We start from the raw sequence: 27,845 nt of genomic DNA on the forward strand, positions 1-27,845 counted from the left end.
TTTAAGAATCACCAGTTCTAAAAGGGTAATATCTTATTCATCTTTCTGAGAATGGAGTATCATGATTCATGAATTAGATACTTGCATCTTAACATTTGAAATAATTTAATTTTATTATTTTTTAGTTCGAAAACTGTATCTTCGGGCACCAAAGAGCATTGTTATAATCAAGTACCAGTTGAATTAAGTACAGAGAAGAAGGTTTGTTTTAAAGAAATTGTTCTGATTTATTTCATTCTTTATTGATTCAAATTCTGTTTAAAATTTTATATTTTAATTCCTTTCCAATTAAAGAGAAAATGGCATATATAACAAAGCATAAAATTCGGCCAGGGAAGTGATGTGAACAGACTAAAATTTATTGTATATAATTTCTGGGGCTAATAAAGAATTGGAGGTATTTGAGAAAGGAATTAATTTGGGTTCTTTTAAACCTATCTGCTAACTCATTTGGCTTAGAGTAGTCACATGTTATAATACTTATAGTTGATCAAAAAATTGATTCCTAAGTGTTCTTATTAAAGACACACACACACACACACACACACACACACATTCTCTCTCTCTCTCTCTCACACACACACACATGCACACACACTTATGTACTTTCTTGCTTTTTTTGACCTAAGATCTTAGATAACTATTACAGATTAAATACTAATCCACTGGCAGACTTCAGCTAATTAGAACACTGGAATAATAGGCAAGCATAGTGAATTACATTTTCTGGTGAACTTTTTCTGCTTTATTGAAGTATGCAGAATGTAAATGAATTGTTTTTATAACTTTGGCACTTGCTGTATCTTAGAACATTCTTTTGATGATTTATTTTCTGTAGTTTTGGGAGAGATAAGACATTGGAATGCGTTTCTAACTACCTTTAGAACTTTAGAAACTGATAATTTAGGAGGTTATTTTCAGGTGATTAATTTGACAGCTTGATTAGGCAAAGAAAAAATTGTGATTTTGAGATTTTTGTTTCTTATTTTCTTCACATTTAAAAGTTTTTTGAAACTTTTTTTAATGGACCTTTATATGTTTAAATGCAGTCTAACTTGGAGAAGTTATATTCTTATAAACCATGTGATAAGATTTCTTCTGGGAGTAACATTTCTAAAAAAAGGTACAGAGTTCCATATTTCTATGTTCTATACTTGCTTTATGAGTACTTTTTTTTCTAAAGAGAAAGAACTGTCAGATGTTGGGCTATTTCATTGGCAAAAGGAAGTTAAATTTAAAACATAAGCTTTTCAGTATTAGAATGATCAAAGTGAGCTATAAAAGAATAATGTTAATTTAATAGCTAACACTTCTTGGATATTACTGTTTGTCAGGCATTATGTTAAATGCTAAGAACTTTATATGTGATATCTCATTTAATTCTTACAAGAGTCTAACAGCTGTTACTATTTATCGCCATTTTATAGTTGAAGATACCAAGGGTTAAGAAGTTGACAAACTTGTTCAAGAGCATACAGCTAATGGCCGAGCTGGCTTTCAAGTCTATATTTGTCTACCTCTAGCATCAAGACACTATTTATTTTTCTTTGTATGAAATATATACAGGCATACTTTGTTTTATTGTGCCTGGCTTTATTGTGACTTGCAGATATTGCATTTCTTATAAATTGAAGGTTTGTGGCAACCCTGCGTCAAACAGGTCATATTAGCCCCATTTTCCAATAGCATGTTCTGTTGTCATGTCTTTGTGTTATATTTTGGTAGTTCTTGACTGGCCATTCACCATTTCTCTCCCTCTCCTCGGGTCTCCCTGTTCCCTGAGATACAACAAAATTGAAATTAGGCCAATTAATAACTCTATAATAGTCTCTAAGTGTGTTTTTTTTTTTTTCGAGACTGAGTCTCACTCTGTTGTTCAGGCTGGAGTGCAGTAGCACAATCTCGGCTCACTGCAATCTTCGCCTCCCGGGTTCAAGCGATTCTCCTGTCTTAGCCTCCTGAGTAGCTGGGACTACAGGCGCCCCCCGATCATGTCTGGCTAATTTTTGTATTTTTAGTAGAGATGGGTTTTTGCCGTGTTGGTCAGGTGGATCTTGAACTCCTGAACTCAGGTGATCCGCCTGCCTTGGCCTCCCAAAGTGCTGGGATTACAGGTGTGAGCCGCTGTGCCTGGCCCATCTCTAAGTGTTTAAGAGAAAGGAAGATTCACATGTCTCTCAATTTAAATCAAAAGCTAAAAGTGATTAGGCTTAGTGAGGAAGCCATGTCGAAAGCTGAGATAGGCCAAAAGCTAGGCCCCTTGCACCAAACAGTTAGTTTGCAAAGGCAAAAGTTCCTGAAGGAAATTAAAAATGCTACCCCAGTGAATAAAACAATGATAAGAAAGCAAAGCAGGCTTTTTGCTGATATGGAGAAAGTTTTAGTGGTCTTTATAGGAGATTAAACCAGCCACAACATTCCCTTGAGCCAAAGCCTAATCCAGAGCAAAGCCCTAACTCTCTTCAATTCTCTGAAAGCTGAGAGAGGTGAGGAAGCTGCAGAATAAAAGTTTGAGGCCAGCAGAGGTTGGTTCATGAGGTTTAAGGAAAGAAGCCATCTCCATAACATAAAAGTGCAAAGTGAAACAGCAAGTGCTGGTATAGAAGCTGTAGCAAGTTATCCAGAAGATCTAGCTAAGATCATCGATGAAGGTGCCTGCACTAACAGACTTTGAATGTAGACCAAATGCTTTCTACCAGAAGAAGAAGCTGTCTAGTACTTTCATAGCTAGAGAGAAGTCAATGCCTGGCTTCAAAGCTTCAAAGGACAAGCTGACTCTCTTGTTAGAAGCTGATGCAGCTGGTGACTTTAAGTTGAAGCCAGTGCTCAATTAGCATTCTGAAAATCCTAGGGCCCTTAAGAATTATGCTATATCTACTCTGCCTTTGCTACATACATGTAACAACAAAGTCTTGATGATACCTGTTTACAGCATGGTTTCCTGAATACTTTAAGCCCATTGTTGAAACCTGCTTAGACAAAAGATTCCTTTCAAAATGTTATTGCTCATTGACAACACTTAGTCACCAAGAGCCGTAATGGAGACATACAAGGAGACTAACGTTGTTTTCATGCCTGCTCGCTTAACATCCATTCTGTAGCTCATGGATCAAGAAGTAAATTAACCTTTTAAGTATTATTATTTAAGAAATACAGTTTGTAATGCTTTAGCTTCTGTAGATAGTGATTATCAGAGATGGGTTTTTAAGAGGTTTTCCAGAAAACCTTCTGGAAAATATTCACTATTCTAGAAGTCATGAAGAATATTTGTGATTCAGGAGAGTAGGTCAGAATATCAATATTAATAGGAATTTGGAAGAAGTCGATTCTTATTAAAATCAAGAGTTTAGTGATAGACATACTGAGTTTGGGATACCTGTGGAGTAGTCCAGAAGTTAATTTAAATATATGGGCTTAGTGTACAGAAGTGAGCAGGGTGCTTATATATGAATAAATATTATTTTAAGATATATTTAAATTTTCCTTAAAATAATACCTATACTTGATATAAAAAGTTAATTGGAAATTAGTGGCTTATGACAAGCATACCAGCCCACACTCTTCCCAAACCCACTTTGCTCTTATTCATAGAAGCTGTCATCTTCAAATCTTCCAGCTGATTTCCCTGGCGTGTGCCTTCTTATTTCTGAATGACACGCTTAGAGTACTATTTTTTTGACTTAGCAATTTTAGAAATTTTCTACTCATCTCCTATTATGGTAGATTTCCCCTCCTTCATTCCTCCTCCAATATAATTATATTTCGTCATATTAATAATTTGTTTATATATATTTTTAATATAATATGATAATATTGTATTTATATTATTAAAACTACACAAATATTATATACACACTACTAACCCAACCGTGTTATTATGGCCACCACTACCTTTATTTTTTTCCTTGTGTTAGTGATTGTCTTTGTTTTATTTTCTTGGTTTTGAGTATTCCTTTTACTAATTTTCTTTTTTCCTATTTCAATCTCTCATTATTTGTTTACTCATTTGGAGTGTTCCTTGACTTTTATCCCCTCTTACCTAGTGACATTTTAATTTTAGTTATCAAATTTTTAATTTCTAAGAATGCTTCTTGTTCTCTTCTTGTTTCTTCTTCCCCACCAGCCAAAAATCTATGATGTTATAGCAAGGATCATACATTGTTTCCCAGTAGGTTAAGAAACCTTGGTTAAAACCTGTTGTATCCCAGTAAGTTAAAAGACGTTAACGTGTCATCTTCAGTATGGATGAAAGAATATTTTCTTTCAAAAGCAGTTGGTTGAGGAAGAGAATGGGACAAATGCTCTTTTTAAAACACCAATTTTGTGATGAACTCAAATTGCAATTTTAACTTTACCATTATAATGAATGTATTTGATCCAAAATGTTTAAAATCTAGGCTGTTGTCATTTAAATAACAAATTACCTTACTGGTATCATGAAGAATAAATGTTTGTACTGATTTGGAAAGACATTCTCATTTAGGGGATGAAATAGAAAGTCAATGAGGAGAAAGAAAAGCTTTTATTATTTATTTTCTTTTAAATATTTTAGTATCATGGTACAGTCACCAGAAAAAGCTTACAGTTCCTCACAGCCTGTTATTTCGGCACAAGAGCAGGAGACTCAGGTAAGGCTTTTGTAAAAAGGTAATTAGTTTATGATAGGATAGTTATGATTCTATGTATGCTTAAAATTCTGTATTTTGCCAGCATTTTAAAAATTGTTCTTAAGCTAAGAGTCTGAGTTTATATTTCAGTTTATATTCATTCTAAGGAAAAATGTGGTATCTGAAGCTCTAAAAATAAAGGACTAGATCTTTTAAGTACACTTTAAAAAGTGTTGTTTCTTTGTTTTTTGTTCAGATTGTGTTATATGGCAAATTGGTAGAAGCTAGGCAGAAACATGCCAATAAAATGGATGTTCCCCCAGCTATTCTGGCAACAAACAAGATACTGGTGGATATGGCCAAAATGAGGTAAACTATCTTTTGCATGTGTTCTATTTATTTCCTTCTAACAAAATAGATTTGGAAAATATATCTAAGTTGATAATATGACCATAGCTTCCACTGTCACATCTGGGAGGTGACTCAGATTCCCCCTGCTGCGATGCTTATCTCTTTGCCAAGCTTTAGTACCGTGTTTCTGTATGAATAAAAACCAGTTACGTTTTCAGCAATCATATTCAATATTTATAAAATCTAACTCATTATTTACCCACCCTGCATTTTATCCAAATGCCGAAACTCCTCTTTTTGGATTCTTTATTTTTGATTATCTTACCATCACATTTGTAGTCAGAGGTTCCTAATGCTTAAAACCTCTGATCTGAATTTTCTCTCCTCCAATATAAAACCCCTTCGTCTTCCTCTTCTTCTTCTTCATTTTTTTTTTTTTTTTTGTCTGAAGACTTGTCTCACTGTGTTGCCCAGGCTGGAGTGTAGTGGTGCGATCACTGCTCACTGCAGCCTTGACCCCCTGGACTCAAGCTATCCTCGCACCTCAGCCTCCCGAGTAGCTGGGACTACAGAACATGCCACCATGCTCAGCTAATTTTTGTATTTTTTGTAGAGACAGGGTTTTGCCATATTGCCTAGGCTGGTCTTGAACTCCTAAGCTCAAGCAATCTTCCCGCCTCAGTCTCCAAAGTTCTGGCACTACAGGTGTGAGCCACTGTGCCTGGCCTCTTTTTCTCATTTAAATACTTTTCATACCTTTTGTAAAACGGGTTCCTTGTTGCCTGTCTATGCCTTCCTCCTCCTTCTTAATGACACCACGTTAATTCTGACTGTTTTCCCTTGGCCTGTTGCAGAAGCCTCTTAACTATTAACCCTTCATTCTCTCTCTCTGTTTCATCTGATATATGAGTACCAAACTAAATCTTCCTTTATCATATCTTACTTCTGCTTAAATGTTTTTTTTCTAGCTTAGAATTCAAGGCCCTCTATTTATGAACTTAAACTTACTTTTCCCTCTAAGTTACAGAATTTGAAATGGTTTATCTTACCTGGATTGTTTATCACTTGTTGAAGATCCATTTTCAACTTCCATATATTTATTTACAGTGTTGCTTCTCCTTGTAGTTTCCTTGATTCCTCAAAACTCCTTTTAAGAATTCTTGAAGATCTCGCTTTATTACTATTTCTCGCTTTATTACTGTAAAGACTATGAGAAGGTCTTTCATGATCTTATCAGCAAAGTAATTCCTCTCTCTTGAATTCATAGAGGACTTTCAGATGAATTCTAAAGATGCTTCTGTAGCACTTACCACACAATGCTATATTTTATTTTTTTGTAATTAGTGGTAAACAAGTATTATTATATCTTCTAGATTTTAAACTCCAAATAAAGATACTAGCTCCTTACCTTTTTGTGTGTCTCCTGTAGCACCTAGCACAATGCCTCATAAACAGGAGGTGATCATTAAATATTTAGAAGAAATTATTTCCCAAGAATAGTTGCTTGGTAATTGTATTTGTCTTTTACTTCCTTTTAAAAAATTGTTTCTGTCACTAAATTGCATCCAATAGATGTTACTTGAGTGCAGAATTTTCTAATGACATTACACAGTGCTACATCTGACACTAATTCTTTTGTTAAAAAATAAATATTCTGGCCGGGCGCTGTGGCTCACGCTTGTAAATCCCAGGACTTTGGGAGGCCGAGGCGGGCGGATCACGAGGTTAGGAGATCGAGGCCATCCTGGCTAACACGGTGAAACCCCGTTTCTACTAAAAATACAAAAAATTAGCCGGGCGTGGTGGCGGGTGCCTGTAGTCCCAGTTACTCTGGCGGCTGAGGCAGGAGAATGGCGTGAACCCGGGAGGCGGAGCTTGCAGTGAGCGGAGATCGCGCCACTGCACTCCAGCCTGGGTGACAGAGCGAGACTCCGTCTAAAAAAAAAATAAAAAATAAAAATAAATAAATATTCTAAGACCATACTTTAATAGAGGTGTTTTTTTTTTTTTTTTTTTTTTTTTTTTTTTTTTTTGGTGATAGAGTCTCACTCTGTCACCTAGGCTAGAGTGCAGTGGCGCGATCTCGGCTCACTGCAACCTCCGCCTCCTGGGTTCAAGCAATTCTCCTGCCTCAGCCTCCGGAATAGCTGGGACTACAGGTGCGCGCTGCCACCCCCGGCTAATTTTTTGTATTTTAGTAGAGATGAGGTTTCACTGTGTTGTCCAGGCTGGTGTTGAACTCCTGAGCTCAGGCAATCCACCCGCCCCGGCCTCCCAAATTGTTGGGATTACAGGCGTGAGCCACAGTGCCTGGCCCAGAGGAGATATTTAATGAAAAATAATAATCATTAGATAGGCAGATTTTTAGAAGGAGGGCATCGAATGGGTTCTTGGATATTGGACACAATAAGAAATATTGAGCTAAAAGTCTGAAGGAATTGGCAGATATACTGTTACAGGTAAACACTTTGTAGAAGAAAATAATGAATGAGACTTTCTTTTGAGATTTTCTTAGCCTCTTAGTTGTTCCCAGTTAAAGCCTCATATTTTTCCTTTTCATGACAATAAAAATAATAATAAAATCAGTAATAAAGTGAATATATGAGATGTTAACCTGTTCCTTTATGACAATGTCCTGTTTACCAATTAACAGTGTGTTTTTGTGGTGATGGGGGCAAGACAAATCTTTAAATGGTGGAAAGCAAAGAAAGAAATTATAAAACATGATTAGTTGTATTATACGTTGTTTTTGGTTGTTGGAAAAACTATACATTTATTGAGAGAATCATTAGGAAGCTGAACATCAGCTATATTGCTGGAGTGATACTGTTTCAGTGGTTTCTTGACCTTTTTGTTGTTGTTGTTGTTGTTGTTAAACACAGACCAACTACGGTTGAAAACGTAAAAAGGATTGATGGTGTTTCTGAAGGCAAAGCTGCCATGTTGGCCCCTCTGTTGGAAGTCATCAAACATTTCTGCCAAACAAATAGTGTTCAGGTAAAATACTGTGGTTTGCAGGAGCTCTTAGAGAATAAGCATTTTTTGTAACCATTTCAAAAGTACCCTCCAGAAGCAACATTTGCTCACTTTATTTGCATTTCCATACTGGACACTTAGAAAATGAATTAAAATTGTTTTTACAGTCAATCTGTTGTAAAAACATGTCAGTTATCTACTTTTAAAGATGATACTAAAAAGTAGTTGTCCAGGCTGCTGATGTCTTTCTATTTCATTGGGAGGTTTTGTTTTTAAATTGGAAACATTATTTTAGGTTGATAAATTATAATTTTACATTCAAATGTGGTAGTTGGAATTTAAAGCTGGAAAGTTATCCTTGCTATGAGTTGGTCAGGAGCTCAGCCACTTTCTTTTGGTTTAGCATCTTCTCTAATCTCCCTCCCCTTCCAGTAATGCTGTCTTTTGATAGTAAGTGGATTTCATATTATTCTCTTCAGTTTTAATAGTGTTTCCTTCATATCCTTTTATTATTGCTTGTTCTGCCCTAAGTGACCATTTCCAGAAATGTCATTTAGGATTTTCTCTAAACTCCACGTAGCAGACTCTATAATGCATACTCTGCAGAAGGTGAGGCAGTGGGAGGTAGAGGGGAGACTACTAGACTAGGAGTCACGGAATCAGGACTTTAGTTCTTCCTTACAGTTGTTCACCTGGTGAACCTGCACATGTCCTTTAATTTCCTTGGGTCTCCATTTCCTCAGCTATACAATGGAAATGACACTTCCTCCCCCACATCCAGGAAACAACAGATGACATTAGAAAATAGAAGACATGGGATAAGTATAAAATGTTGAAAGAGTTAAACACATTCAAGGCAATATTAAGGGATTATTTTTTACTTCCAAGAAGCTCCTGGAAGCTTTGGGCAGGCACAGTTGGATCCTACTTTAGAAAAATCTTTCTCTAACTATAAGTAGAAAACCCTTCTGCTTTTTGAATGTAGCATTTCCCTCTTTTGATATAGAGTATCTTTGGCAACTTTGAATTTTCTTTTTCATACTCTTATATAAGACATCATGTGAAAATTCTTATTTCTTACTGAGTTTTTGGAAATGAAATTATAATGTCTTAATAGTTTGAGAAAGAATATCATACCTACCAGCGGTAATTGAGTAAGTTCCCTCTCTTTGGACACTTGAAAGTAGTATCTTCTTTCATGAATTAGTGATATTATTTAATAATGAATGAGTGATCTCTCCTAACTCCCCTTCAGAAGAGGAAAATGAAGTAGGGGAAAAGGTAAATTCCCCAAGGGATAGGTATGAAACCTTTATGAACCTTCTGGATAGAGAAGATGACTGCTGATTTCTGTGATTAGAAATTATACTTGGGTTATTCTGCAAATTGAAATGAATTATTTAAAAAAAAACAACTTTAATGTTTATTAAGCAAGTTTTGTTATTCATGAGTTTCATTAGCCTTTTATTTTTTTTTTAAATTTTGAAGTAAAATTTCTTGCTGTCACAATACACATTAAAAATTACAAATATGACACATATTAAACACATTAAGATGGCCGAATAGGAAAAATATGCTAAAATATTTTTATATAAATACATTTTTTGAGAATTTTGAGAATTTCTGGAACAAAGTAATGATATAATCCATAAATGTACAATTAAAGAGTTTAAGGATATCCAAAATACTTGGCAAAGTAATCTGAAATAATACTCTTAGGAAGGTAGGGCAAGAATGTGATTCTAGTAAGCAAAAATGTGATCAAATCGTATTCTAGTCCCAGCTACTCGGGAGGCTGAGGCAGGAGAATGGCGTGAACCTGGGAGGCGGAGCTTGGAGTAAGCCGAGATCGTGCCACTGCACTCCAGCCTGGGCGACAGAGCGAGACTCCATCTCAAAAAAAAAAAAAGACTATATGAACATGTATGGCATAAATATGTACAAATATTATTTATTTTAAAAAAATTCAGGGGTAGGGACAGGGTAGTTAGAAAATATCTAAGGATGTTCATGAAATAATACTGGCTATGAATGACAGTTGATGAAACCGGGTGGTGCCCATCTTATTCCCTCGACTCGTGTATATGTTTGATATATCCCACAATAAACCTTAAAAAAAAAAAGATGAGTGGTCAATTATAGGAAGATATAAATAGAAAAGGCAATAAGGACAAAAGTTGGCAAAGCTTACCTAAGCACTCTTCAGATAAAAAGACATTTTTGCTAACTAGATTTGAATATTATAGTTTAATTGTCAAGGAAAATGCCTCAACTTAATCTTTGTTAAGAGACTACTTAAGGCACTATCAGAAGTTCCCTCATGGCAAGGTGCAATCCCTCATGCCTGTAATCCCAGCACTTTGGGAGGCCAAGGCAGGCAGGTTACCTGAGGCCAGGAGTTAGAAAACAACCTGGGAAACATAGTGAGACCCGACCTCTACAAAAACAATTTCTTAAAATTAGCCAGGCATGGTGGTGCTAGCCTGTAATCCCAGCTATTTAGGATGCTTAGGCAGGAGGATTGCTTGAGCCCGGGGATTTGAGGCTGCAGTGAGCCATCATTGTGCCACAATACTCCAGCCTGAGTGATAGAAAAAAAAAAAAAAAGTGTCTTTGTTATATTCCAAACTTGTTCTCAACTTTCAGGTGAGCTGGCTTCCTGTATAACTCTTGTATAGGACAGAACATACTGGTTGGGGCAAGTGAAACTGTCTAGTTGTATGCCTCATAAATTAATGAATTTCCTTTCTAATATATACACTGATATTTATACACACATACACATAAAACCAAGCTCAATAGATGGGTAGTGCAGCTCTATTCCCCAAAACCCAACTACCCTGTAACAAGACACATTAGACTTTTGAGATTGCAAGGATGAGGACTGAAATGCTGGCCTAGACCATGGTGTTGCCATAGTGGGGTGACCAGTCTGAATAGCCAACAATGCTTCCTCAGTAAATACCCATTTTGTCTTGGTGGGATTTCTATAAATTGCAAAATGCAGCTATTATGAAGCTGTAAAAGAGAAACAGAAACATGTAACACCTGGGACTGTTTTATTAGGCCCACCGTATGCTCAGAACATGAAATCTCCACTGCTAGGGTTATTTGATTGAAATTATCTTTTGTGTTGATGTGAGAGTTTAGCTCTGAGATTCTTCCACATGTAAAATGTAATCCCCCAAAGTATTTGGCAAGCACATTTTATTGCCTTGGGTCAGATAATTGAAACATTAGGCATCATATATATAGCATGTAAAAAGTAAAACAGAAACATTTATGTTTCTCACCAAGCAGTAAATTAGTACTCAACTAATAAATTTCTTAAACTCCCTAATAACAGAATATGGAAACAAAAAATAAATCTTTCCAAAAGAAGAGCTCATGGACACATTTCCTCATATATGTATACATAATATAGTAGAACACATGATAAATAACCTATAAAAATGATACCAATATCATTCATCAAGAGACGAGGCTCTTCTTTAAATTATTAATTTCATCTGTTACAGGTTTTATTATGACTGTAGTATGCTGTTTTCATCTACCTTTTATGTGTAGTTAAAAAAATAGTTTTCTATCTCTTTACCTTTATTTCAGCCTTTAAAAAGATTCCATTATTTTTTCATTAATCTTGTTTTTCAGTTTTTCCCATTTTTTCTTTTAAACATTTCTTAAGGAACCATATTTAAGATTTTATAGAATACTTAGATTTCTAGTTGGGATGTATCATTTAAAATTAGATATGTAGAGAGAGTGTTATGATATATTTCCTTACGATATATTAGTGGTTATAGTACCTAAATTTGAATAGTGATTCTGTTCATTCATTCATTCATTCATTCAATATTCACTTCCAGGAGATTGGGGACTTATTTAAAGACAGAGTAGTTCACATTATAGTTCCTTTTTTTAGTCCTTCTTATTCGTTAAAGAAAAGACTAGGAAATGTTTGTTATTACAAATATTTTATTAAAATTTTGTGTGCTCTAGCATTATTTTACCTTTTAAAATCAATATGTTAAAAATCCAACTTCTTTTTGAGCTCCCCATAAAAAGGGAATTATTTGTTGCTTATGGGTTTAACTTGTGTTATTTTTTTCTTAATGGCTAATTATCATACATATATTCTATTATTGTATTGATATTACTGATCATTTGTGCTACATTAAAAATTCTGTAGACAGACCTCTTTTCAAGTACAAAACCTCAAGAAGAACAGAAGACGAGTCTGGTAGCAAAAAATAAAATATGCACACTTTCACAGTCTATGGCCATCACATACTCTTTATTCCAAGAAAAGAAGATGCCTTTGGTAAGTGTGACTTTCATGTTACAGGGAATTTTTTTAGTTTACTTAAACTTGTGTTTTATCAGCTTTTTAGTATTAAAGTTCTGACTTGGGATCAATTTCCTCCAACCCTACAATAAATCTCAGTTTATCTTTAATTTTAAAAGAGAATGTTGTTTTCTTTTTCTGTTAAGCCTCCCTGTTAAGTAATAGCAGCAAGTTTAGTTTGGCCATGAATATCTTCTAGAGATTGTATCGGGGTACTGATAAACACATTTGTAGCTCAGGGATACTGCATCAGCCATATTTTAAAATGGGACTAACAGTTTAAAAACTATAAATATTCACAGTGTTAAGAAACAATCTCAAGATGCATTAAGAAAAAGGAAGGTGCAAAACAGAAAAACAAACGTAAACGTGTGTGCATATGCATGCTTATATAGTCACATATTCTTGTATGTGTACAAAAAATACACACTGGATCTCTGCAAGCATAGCCAAGCAACTGGAAATATGTTTTTAAAAACTTGCTTTTCATTCTATCTCTTCTAGTACTGTTTTGATGCTCTTTGAAAACAATCTAATTGCTGTAACAAATGACCATACGTAGGCCGGGTGTGGTGGCTCATGCCTGTAATCCCAGCACTTCGGGAGGCTGAGGCAGGCAGATCATTTGAGGCCAGGGATTTGAGACCAGTTGGACAACATAGGGAGACCCTGTCTTTACTAAAAATACAAAAATTAGCTGGGCGTAGTGACGCATGCCTGTAATCCCAGATACTTGGGAGGCGGAGACATGGGACTTGCATGAACCCAGGAGGCAGAGGTTGCAGTGAGCTGAGATTGCGACACTGCATTCCAACCTGGGCGACCGAGCAAGACTCGGTCTCCAAAAAAAAAAAAAAAAAAGACCATATGTAATGTTTCTTCATTGTTCTAAGATAAATCTTTAAGGCTGTTGAGGTTTTTTGTATACAAAATGGAGAGTAAGTTTTAATGGGATGGGACAAAATGAGGCTTACAGTTGAGTTTAATTTGAGTTCACATCCTGTTGACATTAAGTTGATTTGGAACAAGTGATATGGTCCAATGCCTGCTTTTCTATTGTCTGTGGTTCCATCCACTAGTGCCTGTGTTACACACCTCTTGTTCAGGTTTTATCATTTAAAATAAATAAGAATAAACAGTCCATAGCTTATCTTACTTACTGAATAAATGCTCTAATTTGACAGTCATGTTTCTTAAAGTTCCTTACAAAGGCCATTGCCCAAGAAACCAAATAATTCCATTATACTATTTTTGAAATAGAACACATAATAAATGGGAATTTTAAGTTCAGTTTCTTATGTAAACAATAACTTCTATGTACATGTTAAATATGCCTGTATATACCTAATTTGACCATGTATGTATAGTAGAAATGAAAACAGTTACTAAGAAAATTTGTTATTGGCTCCAAATTTTCTGAATTAAGTGTATTCTAATGCTCAGCCATAATATGGGGTTTCATGTGTTAGTTTATGTATTCATGGTTAAAAATGTGAAGACTGTTATATCTTCATTTGTGTCTTTTGGTATTATTTGGTTGTATTTTATTGTGTGATATGGTGGTATAATTATCCTTACCTCCCAGGAGTTTGAGAGGGTCTTGCCAGTTAACCGCAGAATTAAACATGCTTAGGACTAATTAATCAGGAGCAATACTACAATTAGTTGGAGGTAATTTGAAACCTGGTTTCAAATAACCCTGATATTATGCACACATGGTGCACACTTTTCTAGTAGACATTTAATGAAAGTAATTTAAAACCTACCTTTGAAGGATGAAAAACATTGCCTTAAATGCTCTATTCTGTGAAAGTATCAACATTTATGCAAATACAGTCTAAATTCAGACTTTGAAAATGTATTGAAAGAGAGGATCATGAAATAAGTTAGAGCTGAGTGACAAAGCTTTCTGAGTGTTTAAAAGAATGTTTTACCTAATAAATATCTGAAATGTATTTGGAGCCACATTTGTTTAAAGAACTGTATAAATATGTAGCACTGTTCATGTGAAGTTCAATAGTAGGAAAATGCTGACAGCCCTTGTGGAACTGTGGTTATTATTATTTTATGAATAGAGCCAATTTCAAACACCTATTAGAGTCTTCTCAGGAACATTTTATAGAATGCATCTGGAGCCTTATGTTATCTCTAAGCATTTTAGGATTTGTCTTCTTGGAAATTCATGTAACCAAACCACCATGTGTTATTTCAAGTGTATATAGTATTGGGTTACAGTTTACTATGTTTTCAGAAGGTTGTGACAACTATTAGACTTACAGAGAATGACTTCTCTGCCACTAACGGCTTTCTAAAGTGAATAGAGAGGGGCGAGGATTGAATTCTTCGGTAAAGCTGGGTGATTTTGTTTTATTCAATACAGTATAATAAGTATAAAAAGTAGAACCTATAGAGAGCTATAATGGGGGTAGTTTTAAAGAAATTCTGAAAATGAAAAACTTAAGTAAAGGTTTAGTTCATTGTTTATTTCACACTGAGCATTTACTACCTGAATGTTTTGGACATTTTATTTCCATGACTGGAGTGGACACTTTTACAACTCACTGGGTTCTTTGCTGATCTTTCTCTAGAAGAGCATAGCTGAGAGCAGGATTCTGCCTCTCATGACAATTGGCATGCACTTATCCCAAGCGGTGAAAGCTGGCTGCCCCCTTGATTTGGAGCGAGCAGGCCTGACTCCAGAGGTTCAGAAGATTATTGCTGATGTTATCCGAAACCCTCCCGTCAACTCAGGTGAGAGGCATGGCCTAGCTCTGCACCCTTAATGACTTGATGAAGTAAACAAGCAATCCACTATATTTTTCACTGTTAACAGCATTAATCCTTTATGCTATTATGAAAACCTTACTTTTGTGATTCTTTTTCTTGTTTTAGGAAAACAATCTTTCTTCCCATTATCACTCAGAGGAAAGTATACTGAGAAATTTTTTTGTTTTGTTTTGTTTTTTGAGACAGAGTCTTGCTCTCTTGTCTAGGCTGGAGTGCAGTGGCGTGATCTTGGCTCGCTGCAACCTCTATCTCCCAGGTTCAAGTGATTCTCTTGCCTCAGCTTCCTGAGTAGCTGGGACTACAGGCGTGTGCCACCATGCCCAGCTATTTTTTGTATTTTTTGATAGAGACAGGGTTTTCCATGTTGGCTAGGCAGGTCTCGAACTCCTGACCTCTGATGATCCGCCCACCTCAGCCTCCCAAAGTGCTGCGATTACAGGTGTGAGCCATGGCACCTGGCCAATACACTGAGAAATTTTTATTTTCCTTTTCAGCTTAAGGTTACAACTTCCCCACCATCCAAAACGTGCACTTTCATTTTTTTTCTAATTTCTATCTCATCACTTGCAAAAACCATATTTTTCTCCACATTCATTCCCAGTAGCTTCCTGACTCCTAGTTCTTCCCTAAATCCTTCTGAGTCCTTGTCATTGGTTTCGCTTGAGTAGCCTTTCTAATCAACACAGTCATTGGTATCAGTTACTGTGACATGGAAGGGACAGACCAAGTTCTGTGGGCCGCTACGTAGAAGGATTTCCTGTCACTTTGCTGCAGAACCTCAGCTCGCGGAGAGCAAGCCCCTTTGCTTGCCCTGTAGAAATATTTTAAATTATTATCCTTTTTTTTTTTAACAGAAGTAAATAGGAGATACGTTAGAGGATTTTCTCTCCTAGATGTGTAAATACAAACTTGGGGTCTTATAACTCAATAAATCTGATAAATTTCTTTTGACTGTTAGGATAGAGCAGTGGCCATACCAATAGCCTCATCTCCAAAGCTGCAGTGAAGATACTTTTTACTACCTTAAAGTCTTTCCCATTTGTGAACAACTTGTGAACAATTCCCCCCAAGAATTTGGAAGATCACTCTCTGAAAGCACAGTCAATACTGTACTTAAATGGATCTGAGCAAAAATAAGTCACTTAGAAGACAGGATTATTTCTAGACTTGAGTGTGACTTGACTGAAGGTCTAAAGAACAAACAGCTCCTTCACTTCCATTGATCACGGTGGAAGCACAGGGAAAGGACAGACACGGAGGCAAGTTGGAGTAGTGCTCATCTAAGTTCCAGGGATGCGGGGGAGTGGCCAGGGGACTTCAGGTATAGTAAATAAATAACCTATTTATAAGTTATGTCAATGTCATGTTTGAAATAGAAAACCAAATACTGCATGTTCTTACTTACAAGCAGGAGCTAAAGTTGGTGCATATGGATATAAAAATGAGAACAGGCCGGGCGTGGTGGCTTGTGTCTGTAATCCCAGCACTTTGGGAGACCTAGATGGAAGGATTGCTTGAGCTCAGGAGTTCAAGACCAGCCTGAGCAACATAGTGTGACCCCCATCTCTACAAAAAATAAGAAAATTAGCCAGACGTGGTGGCATATACCTATAGTCTCAGCTACTTGGGAGTCTGAGTCAGGAGGAGTGCTTGAGCTCAGGAGTTTGGGGTTATAATAAGCTGTGATCATGCCACTGTGCTCCAGCCTGAGTGACACCCAGAGTGAGAACCTGTCTCAAAAGGAGAAAAAAAAAAAAGTAACAGTAGACGCTGGGGACTACTGAGGGGAGGGAAGGAACAATGGTTGAAAAGGTGGGAAGGGACAGTGGTTGAAAAACTACGTGTTGGGTACTATGCTCACTATCTGGGTGATGGGATCAATTGTACCTCAAACCTCAGCATCCTGCAATATACTAATGTTACAAACCTGCCCATGTACTACCTGAATCTAAAGTAAAAGTTATAATTTAAAAAAATTATAATAAAATCAGAAAATAAAGGTCTGAGATGGAAAATTAAAAGACCAAAGCCACCCATAAGCACAATAAATCCCTCCCCCCAAAAAATTATATCTATTAAAAAAAGGTGTTGCGCCAGGCACTGTGGCTCATGCCTATAATCCTAGCACTTTGGGAGGCCAAGACGGGCAGATGACTTGACTTGAGGTCAGGAGTTCAAGACCAGCCTGGCCAACATGGTGAAACCCTGTCTCTACTGAAAATACAAAAATTAGCCAGCAGTGGTGGCATGCGCCTGTAATCCCAGCTACTCAGGAGACTGAGGCAGGAGAATCGCTTGAACTGGGGAGGCGGAGGTTGCAGTGAGCCGAGATCATGCCACTGCACTTCAGCCTGGGTGACAGAGTGAGACTCTGTCTCAAAAAAAAAAAAAAAAAAAGACCTTGTACCCTGACAAGTTTTAGTTTGTGCAGGAATGCTAGAATGACTCAAGATTGGAAAAATCTTTAAATGTTAATTACACAATAAGGGTAAAAGGAGAAAAATTACCTAATGTCATCTGAGCAACAAGAAGAAGAAATGAAAGGCATTAAAAATTGGGAAAAATTTATATTTGACAGTATCTTAACAACGAATTCTGCTTCTATATCACTTCCTAGCTTTCTGATGATAACTTCCCGTGCAGATCTGTATGTAAGGAATGGACGTAGTAGTCATGCTAATCTGAGTATTTATCTGTGTGATACTTACGAATTAACGATGTAAGTTAATAAGTTAGCATTTCGTGAACCTGGTTAATACCATTTGCTAAGGTTAAATTAGCCAAATCCTGAAGTAAGCTGTAAAACATCCAAGGTAGGGTAGAGAGGCATCTTATGAGAAAGCTGGCCAACTCTCCTGGTCACCTTCTAATCTTCCTAACTTCAGAAATCAAGGCAGAGAGAGGAAAATAGTAATTACTTTGTAGGATTAGATTTATGGTTGTCGAAACCTTTGTTTCTCCAGTGCAGAATGAGATAGCGTTTTAGGGAAAGCCAAAGACTCAGATGTCTTCTTCATGCTCATCGTGTGGAATTTTTCTTCCTTTAGAAATGTATTGTCTCTCAGGGCTTAAAGCAATTTGCATCTTTCGATGAGACATTGAGTAATAGGCAATATTCTCTGAAATAATTTGTGCAGGCTGGGCACAGTGGCTCACACCTGTAATCCCAGCACTTTGGGAGGCCGAGGCGGGCAGGTCACTGAGGTCAGGTGTTGGAGACGAGCCTGACCAACATGGTGAAACCCCGTCTCTACTAAAAATACCAAAATTAGCTGGGCTTGGTGGCACACACCTGTAATCCCAGCTACTTGGGAGGCTGAGGCAGGAGAATTGCTTGAACCCCCATGGGAGGTGGAGGTTGTGGTGAGCCAAGATTGTGTCATTGTACTACAGTCTGGACAACAGAGTGAGACTCTGTCTCAAAAAAAAAAAAATAGAATTTGTGCAGTTCCCCCCACCCCCTTTTTTTTTTCTGTTGGCATTTTTGCTATCATTTAGCTGCCTTCTTTATATCCTGAAACTTACAGGTGGTGTTGGTCTAGTCAGTAAGAGCAAAGGCTTTGGGAATAGATAGATCTGTATTTAGACCTTGGCTCTAGCATCTCATTGTTATGTGACCTCCATCAAGTGACCTAATTTCCCTAATATTCAATTTCCTCATCTCTAAGACAGGGAGTTAATATTGCCTCTCTTATAGAATTGTGAGAAATATAGTCATGTGTCGCTTGATGATGGGGATGAATTCTGAGAAATGTGTTGTTGGGCGATTTCATTTTGTGGGAACCTCACAGGGTGGACTTAAACAAACCTAGATGGTATGGCCTACTACACACCTAGGCTGTACGGTATAGCTCCTGTCTTCAAACCTGTACAGCATGTGACTTTACTGAACACTGTAGGCAATTATAACACAGTGGTATTTGTATATATAAACATAGTGAAACATAGAAAAGGCCCAGTAGAAATACAGTGTAAAAGATTTTTTAAAAAAGCTGGGCATGGTGGCTCACGCCTGTAATCCCAGCACTTTGGGAGGCCGAGGCAGGCAGATCACTTGAGGTCAGGAGTTCAAGACCAGCCTGGCCAACATGATGAAACTCCGTTTCTACTAAAAGTACAAAAATTAGCTGGGCGTGGTGTTGGGTGCCTGTAATCCCAGCTACTCAGGAGGCTGAGGCAGGAGAATTGCTTGAACCCAGGAGGTGGAGGTTGCAGTGAGTCAAGATTGTGCCACTGCACTTCAGCCTGGGAGACAGAGCGAGACTCTGTCTCAAAAAAAAAAAAAAAAAAGAGATAAAAAGGTACATCTGTACAGGGCACTTACCACGAATGGAGCTTGCACCCTGGGAGTTGCTCTGGGTAAGTCAGTGAGTGAGCGGTGAGTGAATGTGAAGACCTAGGACTGTGCACTGCTGTAGACTTTATAAACCCTGTGCACTTAGGCCACACTCACCCCTGTGATACGAGTCTACCTACTGTATAACGTACCTGCATATGTACCCTTGAAACTAAAACAAAAGTTAAAAAATTTATCTTCTTTTGCCAATAATAAATTAACCTTAGCTTACTGTAATGATTCTTCTTTATGAATTAAAATCTTTTTACTCTTTTGTAATAACACTTGGCTTAAAACACAAACATATTGTACAGCTATACAAATATATTTTCTTTATATCCTTCTTCTCTAAGATTTTTTCTGTTTTTGATTTTGTTAAATTTGTTTTTACTTTTTACATTTTTTTTGTTAAAAACCAAGACAAAAACCCACACATCAGCCTAGGCCTACATGGGCTCAGGATCATCAGTCTCACTATCTTCCACCTCCACATCTTGTCCCACCAGGTCTTCAGGGGCAGTCATATGCATGGGGCTGTCATCTCCTGTGATAACAATGCCTTCTTCTGGACACCTCCAGAAGGGCCTGCGTGTTTTACAGTGAACTTCTAAAAAATAATAAAATGTATAGTATAGCAAACACATAAACATAGTAACATAGTCATTTATTATCATTTTCAAGTATTATATACTGTACATAATTGTACATGCTAGACTTTTACACAGCTGGCAGCAAGGTGAGTTTGTTTACACCATTACCACCACAAACACATGGGTGATGCTTTGCATTGTGATGTTACGATGGCATGATGTCACTAGGTGGTAGGAACTTTTCAGCTCCATGATAATCTAATGGATACTTGTTCCTGTTGGCTGCCCGTCGTTGACTGCAACATCATTATGTGGTGCATGACTGTAAATTAGATACTGTTCAGAAAGCTTTGGCACACTGGTAATAGCAAATGGTGGTGGCAAATATGATGATGATGATGATGATGATTGAAGACATAGATGGTAAAATTTTATGGTGTCTTAAAAGTACCCTCTAAATATGATTATTTTTATAGTCTGTCCTTTTGAATAGGCACTTAAGAATGTATGAACTTAATAAGTATATAAGAAAGAATGTTCCCCAAAATATATCTTACAGAGGCATACAATTTAAGAATTCAAACAGGTTGTAATGGGGTGTGTGTGTGTGTGCACACGCGCACGCATGCGTGCTCATTCACACTAAAGAATTCTTGGGCATATGTTCCTGAATGTCCTAAATGGACATTCTAACATCACTTCATTATGGGCAGAGGGAAATGGTAAAGAAAAATTTCATATTATATTATTCAGCCACATATTGACAGCATCTGTTTTATTTGCCTATGGTAAAGAATTGAAGCACTGTTAATTTGCTTTTTAAATCATGTAGGCACAAAGTTATCGAACTTTAGATTTAGAAATGAAACTGGAAATCATTACACTTTCCCTTTCCTATCCCCACCCTGTTTTGGAGAGAAAGAGTGTGAGGCTTAGAGAGTTATAAAACTGTTTTAATACCATGTCTAAGATTAATAACTGAACAAGTTTCTCTTTTTACTCGTGTTAAAGTTGTACTGCCAATTAACTTAAAAGAAAGAAATATGCAATTTCTAATCCTGATATAGGATATGGGTATATAAACTCTAACTTGATGAGTGAAACAAATTAACTTATTTATAATCAGTTTCATATCTTTATTTATTGAGTGTCTTTAAATACCCCTTACCTTTAAAGTAAGAAATATTAAAATCAAGCAGAATATAATAATGAAAAATTCTTAAGATATACTTACTAAAAACTTATCCTTCGGTTAATACACTGTATGTAGGTTGTACATACAATATGAAAAAGTATATTTTTGTAGCCTACTTTTAAATCCAGAATAGAGGAGGTTAAGAAGGTTGTGATAACCATGAGCTCTTTTTTTTTTTTTTTTGAGACAAGGTCTTACTCTGTTTCCCAGGCTGGAGTGCCGTGGCACAATCATAGCTTACTGCAGCCTTGAACTCTTGGGCTCAAGCAAGCCTTCCACTTCAGCCTTCCAAGTAGCTGGGACCACACCTGGCTAATTTTTAAGTATTTTTGTAGAGATGAGTTCTCACTACATTGCCCAGGCTAGTCTTGAACCCCTAGCCTTAAGCGATCCTCCCACCTCAGCCTGCCTAAGTGCTGGGATTACAGGTGTGAGCCACTGAGCCCAGCCCTCTTTTATTTCTTTTGATAGTACACTCATAATCATTAAACTATCATTTCTGGATGTGAGATTGTGCTTTTGGATTCTTATTTTTTCTTTATAAAATACTTTTTGTTCTCTTACTGGAGAAAACATTGTTGGATTATAAATGATATAACAAGGAATGAGGATATACATACTATAATAACGATTCAGATATGTTATTTTCATATTTTATTTAACTGTAGCCATGCCACAATAATTTAGAGTTTTAAAGAACAAGTTTGATTGAAATCTAAACTTTGTACAATCCTGAATTGAGAAGTTTCCTGTATTTTATTATGACACAATATTTACCTAAAAATAGAGTAATTATGAATTGAGAAAACATAGCTATTAATTTCATACTCTTATTTGTTAAGTAGATTTTGTCTGGAAAACTGTTCATATTTAAAGGAGCTTTGTACCTTTGTATTCTTTTTGTTTTTCCTTGTTTATATAATTTTAAACTCTGTTTATGGATTTGGGATTCTAACTATGCTAAATAATAAATTAAGGCATTGAATGAAGTACCTAGACAGTATTTTGATTAATTTTATTCCCCCATTCTTAATGTGCATGTAACTGGAAAATTAAGAGTGGCTTCCAAGGGATCTACTACAAAAGTAAGGTTAATATGATCTCTTTTAAAACACTGAAGGCGTGTAGCCAGTGTTGTCATTAATTCTGCAGTAGATATTTTCAGCACTTATTTACATGGGAAGTTAGAGCAGAGTAAGATGCACCTGTAAAGCTAAATGCCACTTATTTGCATATATATAAAACGCAGGATGAATTTACCATAGAAATATAAAGGGTACTTATAGAAATGTATTAGAAAAATATATGAATTTTTAACTTATATCTAGAAGTTAACTTTATACATTTAACTTTAAATCATTAATAGTGGTTTAACACCATAAGCGGATGTTTATGCATCATCATTTTATGAACAAAAGACATTCTAATTTTAGAAATAAAGTGATTCAAAAGAGAATAAAATATCTTACTTTTTCTTTTAAAATTAATTTGTTTAGCGCATTACATGATAATAGCTCAAGCTTGTGTGATTTTTCCCTAAAAAATTGGTTTATAAATATTACATTTATAGTATGAAGAAATTAATCATACATAGTTTATTTATCTAATTTCTAAATACCCATGGAAGAAAATGAATTTAATGGAATGTAGTTGTGTATTACTTGGTTTCGAGTGTGGGAAAATTTATATGGTCTTTCTAAAACAGCACTGTCAGTAGAAATACAATGTGAGCTACATATGCAATTTTAAATTTTCTAGTAGCCACATTTTAAAAAGTAAATGGATGCAATTTATTTTGATAATATAATTTAATTAGTCTACTATATTTAAAATTTTATCATTTCAACATGTAATCAATATGAAAATTATTAATGAGATATTTTACATACTTTTTTCTGTAATAAGCCTTTGTAATCAGGTATGTACTTTATATATACAACAAATCTTCTGATGCTAAATTTTAACTGGAAATACTTGATCTGTGTTTAGCTTTTGTAAAATTTACTGTTGAACAACGTGGACTAATGTGCCTAAGTGGTTCCAAACATATTTTAAAATTTGAAGACAAATAAAAGGGAACTCAAAGTAAATTGGGATACATACATACAACAGAATACTGAGCCATTAAAAAATGATGAAATAGTAAAATTGGGGGAATTTTGATGATACTAGGATGATATAATGACCAAGAGACAAATACAATTTTAGTTTGGTTGAGAGATGTGATCATCACGTTGCTGATTTTACTATGTATAGAGGTTATCTTTTCCTTTCTAAGATTTTGAAACTTTAATTAGTTAACCCACTTACCTAGTTTCTATTAGCTGTGTAACTTTCTCTTCCTGTTTTTTGTTTTGTTTTGTTTTGTTTTTTGCTTTTTAACTGCAGTATTTTGAGGAGTCTTGGAGTAGCAAGCTAATCTTTGGAAGAAAGGAAAATATAAACCTGAAAACTAACAATTTAAAGAACGTCTTTTCAGGTTGTCATTTGAAAAATACTTGATTTCTGATCACTGATTTGAATTGAGTGTCAAATATTTGATATGTTTTGTAAATTAGGTGAAGATGAGTGAGTAGGTTCTAAACTGCTTGGGTTTACCGCACTCTGGAGCATTGCAGAAGAATGTGATGTTGGAAGGAAGTGCTGAAACATAATTATTGGCTTGCCTATAGGAGGGTGCTACATAATTTTAGAAGGTGTCAAGAAATTGACACAGTCTGAATTAGTTCTGTTGAGTTGCAAAAAATGTAAAGTTTCTTGATTCTGAAAATAAGAAATATGTTCCCAGAAATCTCATCTAGTTAATGTGCTTTTAAAATCATTGATGTCTCTTGTTATTACAATAATAGCCATTGAAAGAATCTTTTTTATTAGAATGTTATTTACAGGTACGATTAGCTTCTATTTAAATAAATTATTTTTATACTTGATCTTAGGCAAAAGGCCAACAAGTGATCAGAATAAATTATTTTAAGAGAAAACTAATTATAATTGATATTTGGAATTGGAAGCACAATTTCCTTTAGAACAATTCCACGAATGGTTGTTTTGATTCTCAAGGCAGCCCACAAAAGACAGTTTGAAACACAATTTATGCAGTGTCAATAGTACTGACCTGACTTTGGATCTTGGAGGCAGGGGCTTCAGGTGATACCCGAGTGGAGTTTTTACTCCATTTCCATTCCGTAAGGCTATAGGCATTTGAAAGAGGAAACTTTTCTTTGGCAACCTTCCACCTTCCTTTCTACAGAATATTTCAGTATTTCTAGCTCATAGGTTTTCTAAAATATTCTCTGTAATTTATTTTGAAATGGAGTTTTTTTATCGTTTACAGATATGAGTAAAATTAGCCTAATCAGAATGTTAGTTCCTGAAAACATTGACACGTACCTTATCCACATGGCAATTGAGATCCTTAAACATGGTCCTGACAGCGGACTTCAACCTTCATGTGATGTCAACAAAAGGAGATGTTTTCCCGGTTCTGAAGAGATCTGTTCAAGTTCTAAGAGAAGCAAGGAAGAAGTAGGCATCAATACTGAGGTATTAATTATATATAGAATTTTCATAAAGTGTCAGTTTGTTCAATTTGCATATCCTAGTACTAGAATGCTGTATTTTTTTGAACTGTTATGAATTCTGATATGATTACTTTCTCTATGTGCTACATTTCCTTTGCTTTTCATAAATATGATCTGAGAAAAGTGATTAAAAAAAAGACAGTAAAAGGGAGGTTTAGTCCATCTGTTTAGCTTATTATGTAGAATGTCAGCTTAAATTTTACCTGTACCTCATATTGACCGTATAGCCTGGAAAATCTTTCGGAGGTATAGTTAATGGATTTAAGCATATGGCAGTTTATGTAGTTAATGAAAGTGAAAACAAATTGTATTATAAATACCTCCCAAACTGGTTTATTATCATTCTATCATTCTTCATGCTCTGTTAGTATGATATTGAATATCTGAGGTACCAGGATTATTGTTGCTTGTGGCTCTGAGCATTTCGTAGTGCTTTTGCATGATGAGAGAAAGATTACAAATTTAGTATTATGTTAGATGGTACGTTTTATTAAAATCAAATGCTTCAAAAATAATTGCTCTGTGTATGGCATGAGATAAATAGCAATCAGATATATTGTTTAATAATATGACTCTATTAAATGATGGCATAAATTTGAAAATTTGACCTTCGGTATCTTCCGGGTCTAAAATTATATGACTCCATTATAAATATTTTGGAAATGATTAACTAAAAAATTGTTTCAATTCTTAGTTGGTAAATTCAATGTGGTAGTAGGTGGTGGTGATTATTTTGTATTAGAGAATTAGGAATTACACTTAGTTCTAAGGTAATCTTTATAGGATGTCCAGCAATTAAACCCCTACTTTTTTGAATTGCTTAAAAATAAGGGAACTGATCTTTTTAAATTCTGTACTTGAGTTACGTCTGTATATATAGTCATGTCCTAGATAATCTAATGGAACTTAATTAGTTGGAAATCTTTATATTGTTTATAACTGAACTAGCTATAAGAGGAACATTAAAGAAAACATATTTTGAGTGGAGGTAATGAAATTTAGCTTCTAATGCTCAGCCTTTTATTTCTGTAATCTATACCAGATACCTAAGACCCTCTTATTGTTTCCCAGCTTCAACCTGTCAGTATAGAAAACGGTGTAACTTACTATTTTTTCTCAATATTGAAGCACATTTGTAGTGAAATATTATTTTAACTATATATTGCCATTTTTGCTTTTTCCCTATTTCAGTAACATTTTTCGCTATTTCAGTAACATTACATGTCAACAAGAGAATGGTGGGTATTTTGGGGGGGGTTGGGTGGGGAGAAATTTTACTAAGCTTGCTAGATTCTAAAAGGTATACCTTATTTGGCCCCTTTTCCCCATTTAGGGGAACAAGGGTGTTGGGGCTGGGAAGTAGATAAGAGGTGAGTAAGTCATCCAAAGCATATGTCTTCATTAGCCTCCCTGTATGAAAAGCTGATTTCTGTAGAGTGTTGGAGGCCTACTTTCAGAATCTGTCATATGTTAACATTCATCTTCTCTACTGACCTGATTTATATCCCTTAGTCTATTTCATTTTATAATTATGACAAAGGATAAAGTCATTAGAACAAATTCTTTTTATTAGTTGACGTATTGTTGTGTTTATATCTCTTGTGTTTGTTATTAAGATGGAAGCTCAATCATGTCCTTGTTTAACAGAAAGGTGATGTCTTGGCATTGATAATTCTGATTCAATATCCATAGGTACATGGTGGATTCTTTAAATATTTAGTATTCTTTTATTTCTGGAAAGTTTTCTTAAATGATAGTTTTTTTAAAATTTCATTTCTATAAAGTTTTCTTAAATCATACTTTTTAGTGTTTTATTCCATTACTTCATATTTCTTCTTCAGGAACTCCTGCTATACATGTATGTTGGATCTTCATTACCCAGCTTCAATATTTTTCACTTTTCATGCATTCTTTTTATTTCTTCATTTCTCTTTAAATTTTTTTCTTCCTTTTCACCTTCTATTTCTCTTTTAACATAATTGTATTTATTTCTGTATTCCACATAGCTTAGTATTCACTTATTTTAAAATTATTTTAAAACGTTTTTTAGATTTAAAAATTCTTTTTTTATTTATATATACATATTTTATTTTTACCAAAGGAGCAACACTATTAACTGAAGACTTCTATAATTTTTTTCTTTTATTTCTGATTCTTTCTTCGGTTTTCCCCCTCAGTTTTGAACTTTTCTAATTTTGATTTGTGATGTCCTTTTGTATTTTAGATAATTTTCCTAATGTTTTCCAGCTCATTTGGAAAGGCTACAGTTTTATTCTGTACCTAAGCAAGTCTTTCTGGTGTCAAAGATTTGACCTTGATACTTTTCTTTTGCTCATTTTCGTATGAGATTAGTTTTCCTGTACTTTCAAAAGAAGGCGTGGTTCAAGATGGCTTTCCCAATTTCACATCTGTCTCTAATGTTTTTGTGTAATGTCTAAAATATGGAAACTTGGTTTATGAGATCTACTCTGCCATTTTTATCTGGGCTTTCTCTTCCTTTTGTCTCTGTTGTACCTGTCCTGCTTGGTTTTGATTTAACCCCAGTGGTTTCTCCTGAATGTGGAGCCTTCTCCTAGAAGGCAGCCTCGGCTAGTCCCAGGGTTCAGAGTAGCCAGCTGCTCTCTTCACCTAAGAGACCACTGTGGATTCCTTGTACTCACTTGCTATTGGCTTGGACAAAAGCCCTCCCATTTTCAGATGCTATTATCAGATTAATCTCTCATTAATCTGTCTTTCCAGTGTATGCCTGTGGGCTATCTTGGGGTTCTCTTGTTATCAGACACCTCCCTGCTGGCCTCTGCTTTCTCCCGTACAGATGTCAGTACTGTGCAGGTCTTAATTGCTGTTGGTGGTTTGCCCCTACATTCTTACAGTTTTAGTTTCCCAAGGATACCTTTAAACTTGGTTTTATTGTAAATGTCGACAATGGATTTTGGGTTTTACTATCTAGTTCTGTCTTAATTCTGGAATTCAGAAAGATTAAAAGCTCTGTTGTTGCAGCTGCTGCCACCTCTTCCCAGTACCCTCTCCTCCTATGTCATTTTTTTCTTCTTATTTTTCTTGACTGTATAAGAGAG

At 35.5% G+C, this 27,845-nt stretch overlaps 1 protein-coding gene across 6 annotated transcripts in view; it reads left to right on the top strand.

The window, feature by feature from the left end:
- WRN (WRN RecQ like helicase) overlaps positions 1 to 27,845 on the top strand; it is a 142,329-nt gene that overhangs the window by 108,691 nt on the left and 5,793 nt on the right. For 3 of the 6 annotated variants that reach the window (NM_000553.6, XM_011544639.4, XM_011544640.2), the window contains 8 exons: positions 126 to 201; positions 1,050 to 1,123; positions 4,553 to 4,628; positions 4,864 to 4,976; positions 7,841 to 7,955; positions 12,124 to 12,255; positions 14,868 to 15,030; positions 24,522 to 24,730. In NM_000553.6, coding sequence (NP_000544.2) covers positions 126 to 201; positions 1,050 to 1,123; positions 4,553 to 4,628; positions 4,864 to 4,976; positions 7,841 to 7,955; positions 12,124 to 12,255; positions 14,868 to 15,030; positions 24,522 to 24,730 — 958 coding nt within the window. Of the gene's footprint in view, positions 1 to 125; positions 202 to 1,049; positions 1,124 to 4,552; positions 4,629 to 4,863; positions 4,977 to 7,840; positions 7,956 to 12,123; positions 12,256 to 14,867; positions 15,031 to 16,024; positions 16,388 to 23,575; positions 23,667 to 24,521; positions 24,731 to 27,845 lie in introns of those variants that run through there. The other 3 variants (XR_949471.4, XR_949472.4, XR_949470.4) reach the window with 3 other exon arrangements.

The sequence above is a fragment of the Homo sapiens genome, chromosome 8 (assembly GCF_000001405.40).
Source record: "Homo sapiens chromosome 8, GRCh38.p14 Primary Assembly".
Lineage (NCBI taxonomy): Eukaryota > Metazoa > Chordata > Mammalia > Primates > Hominidae > Homo > Homo sapiens.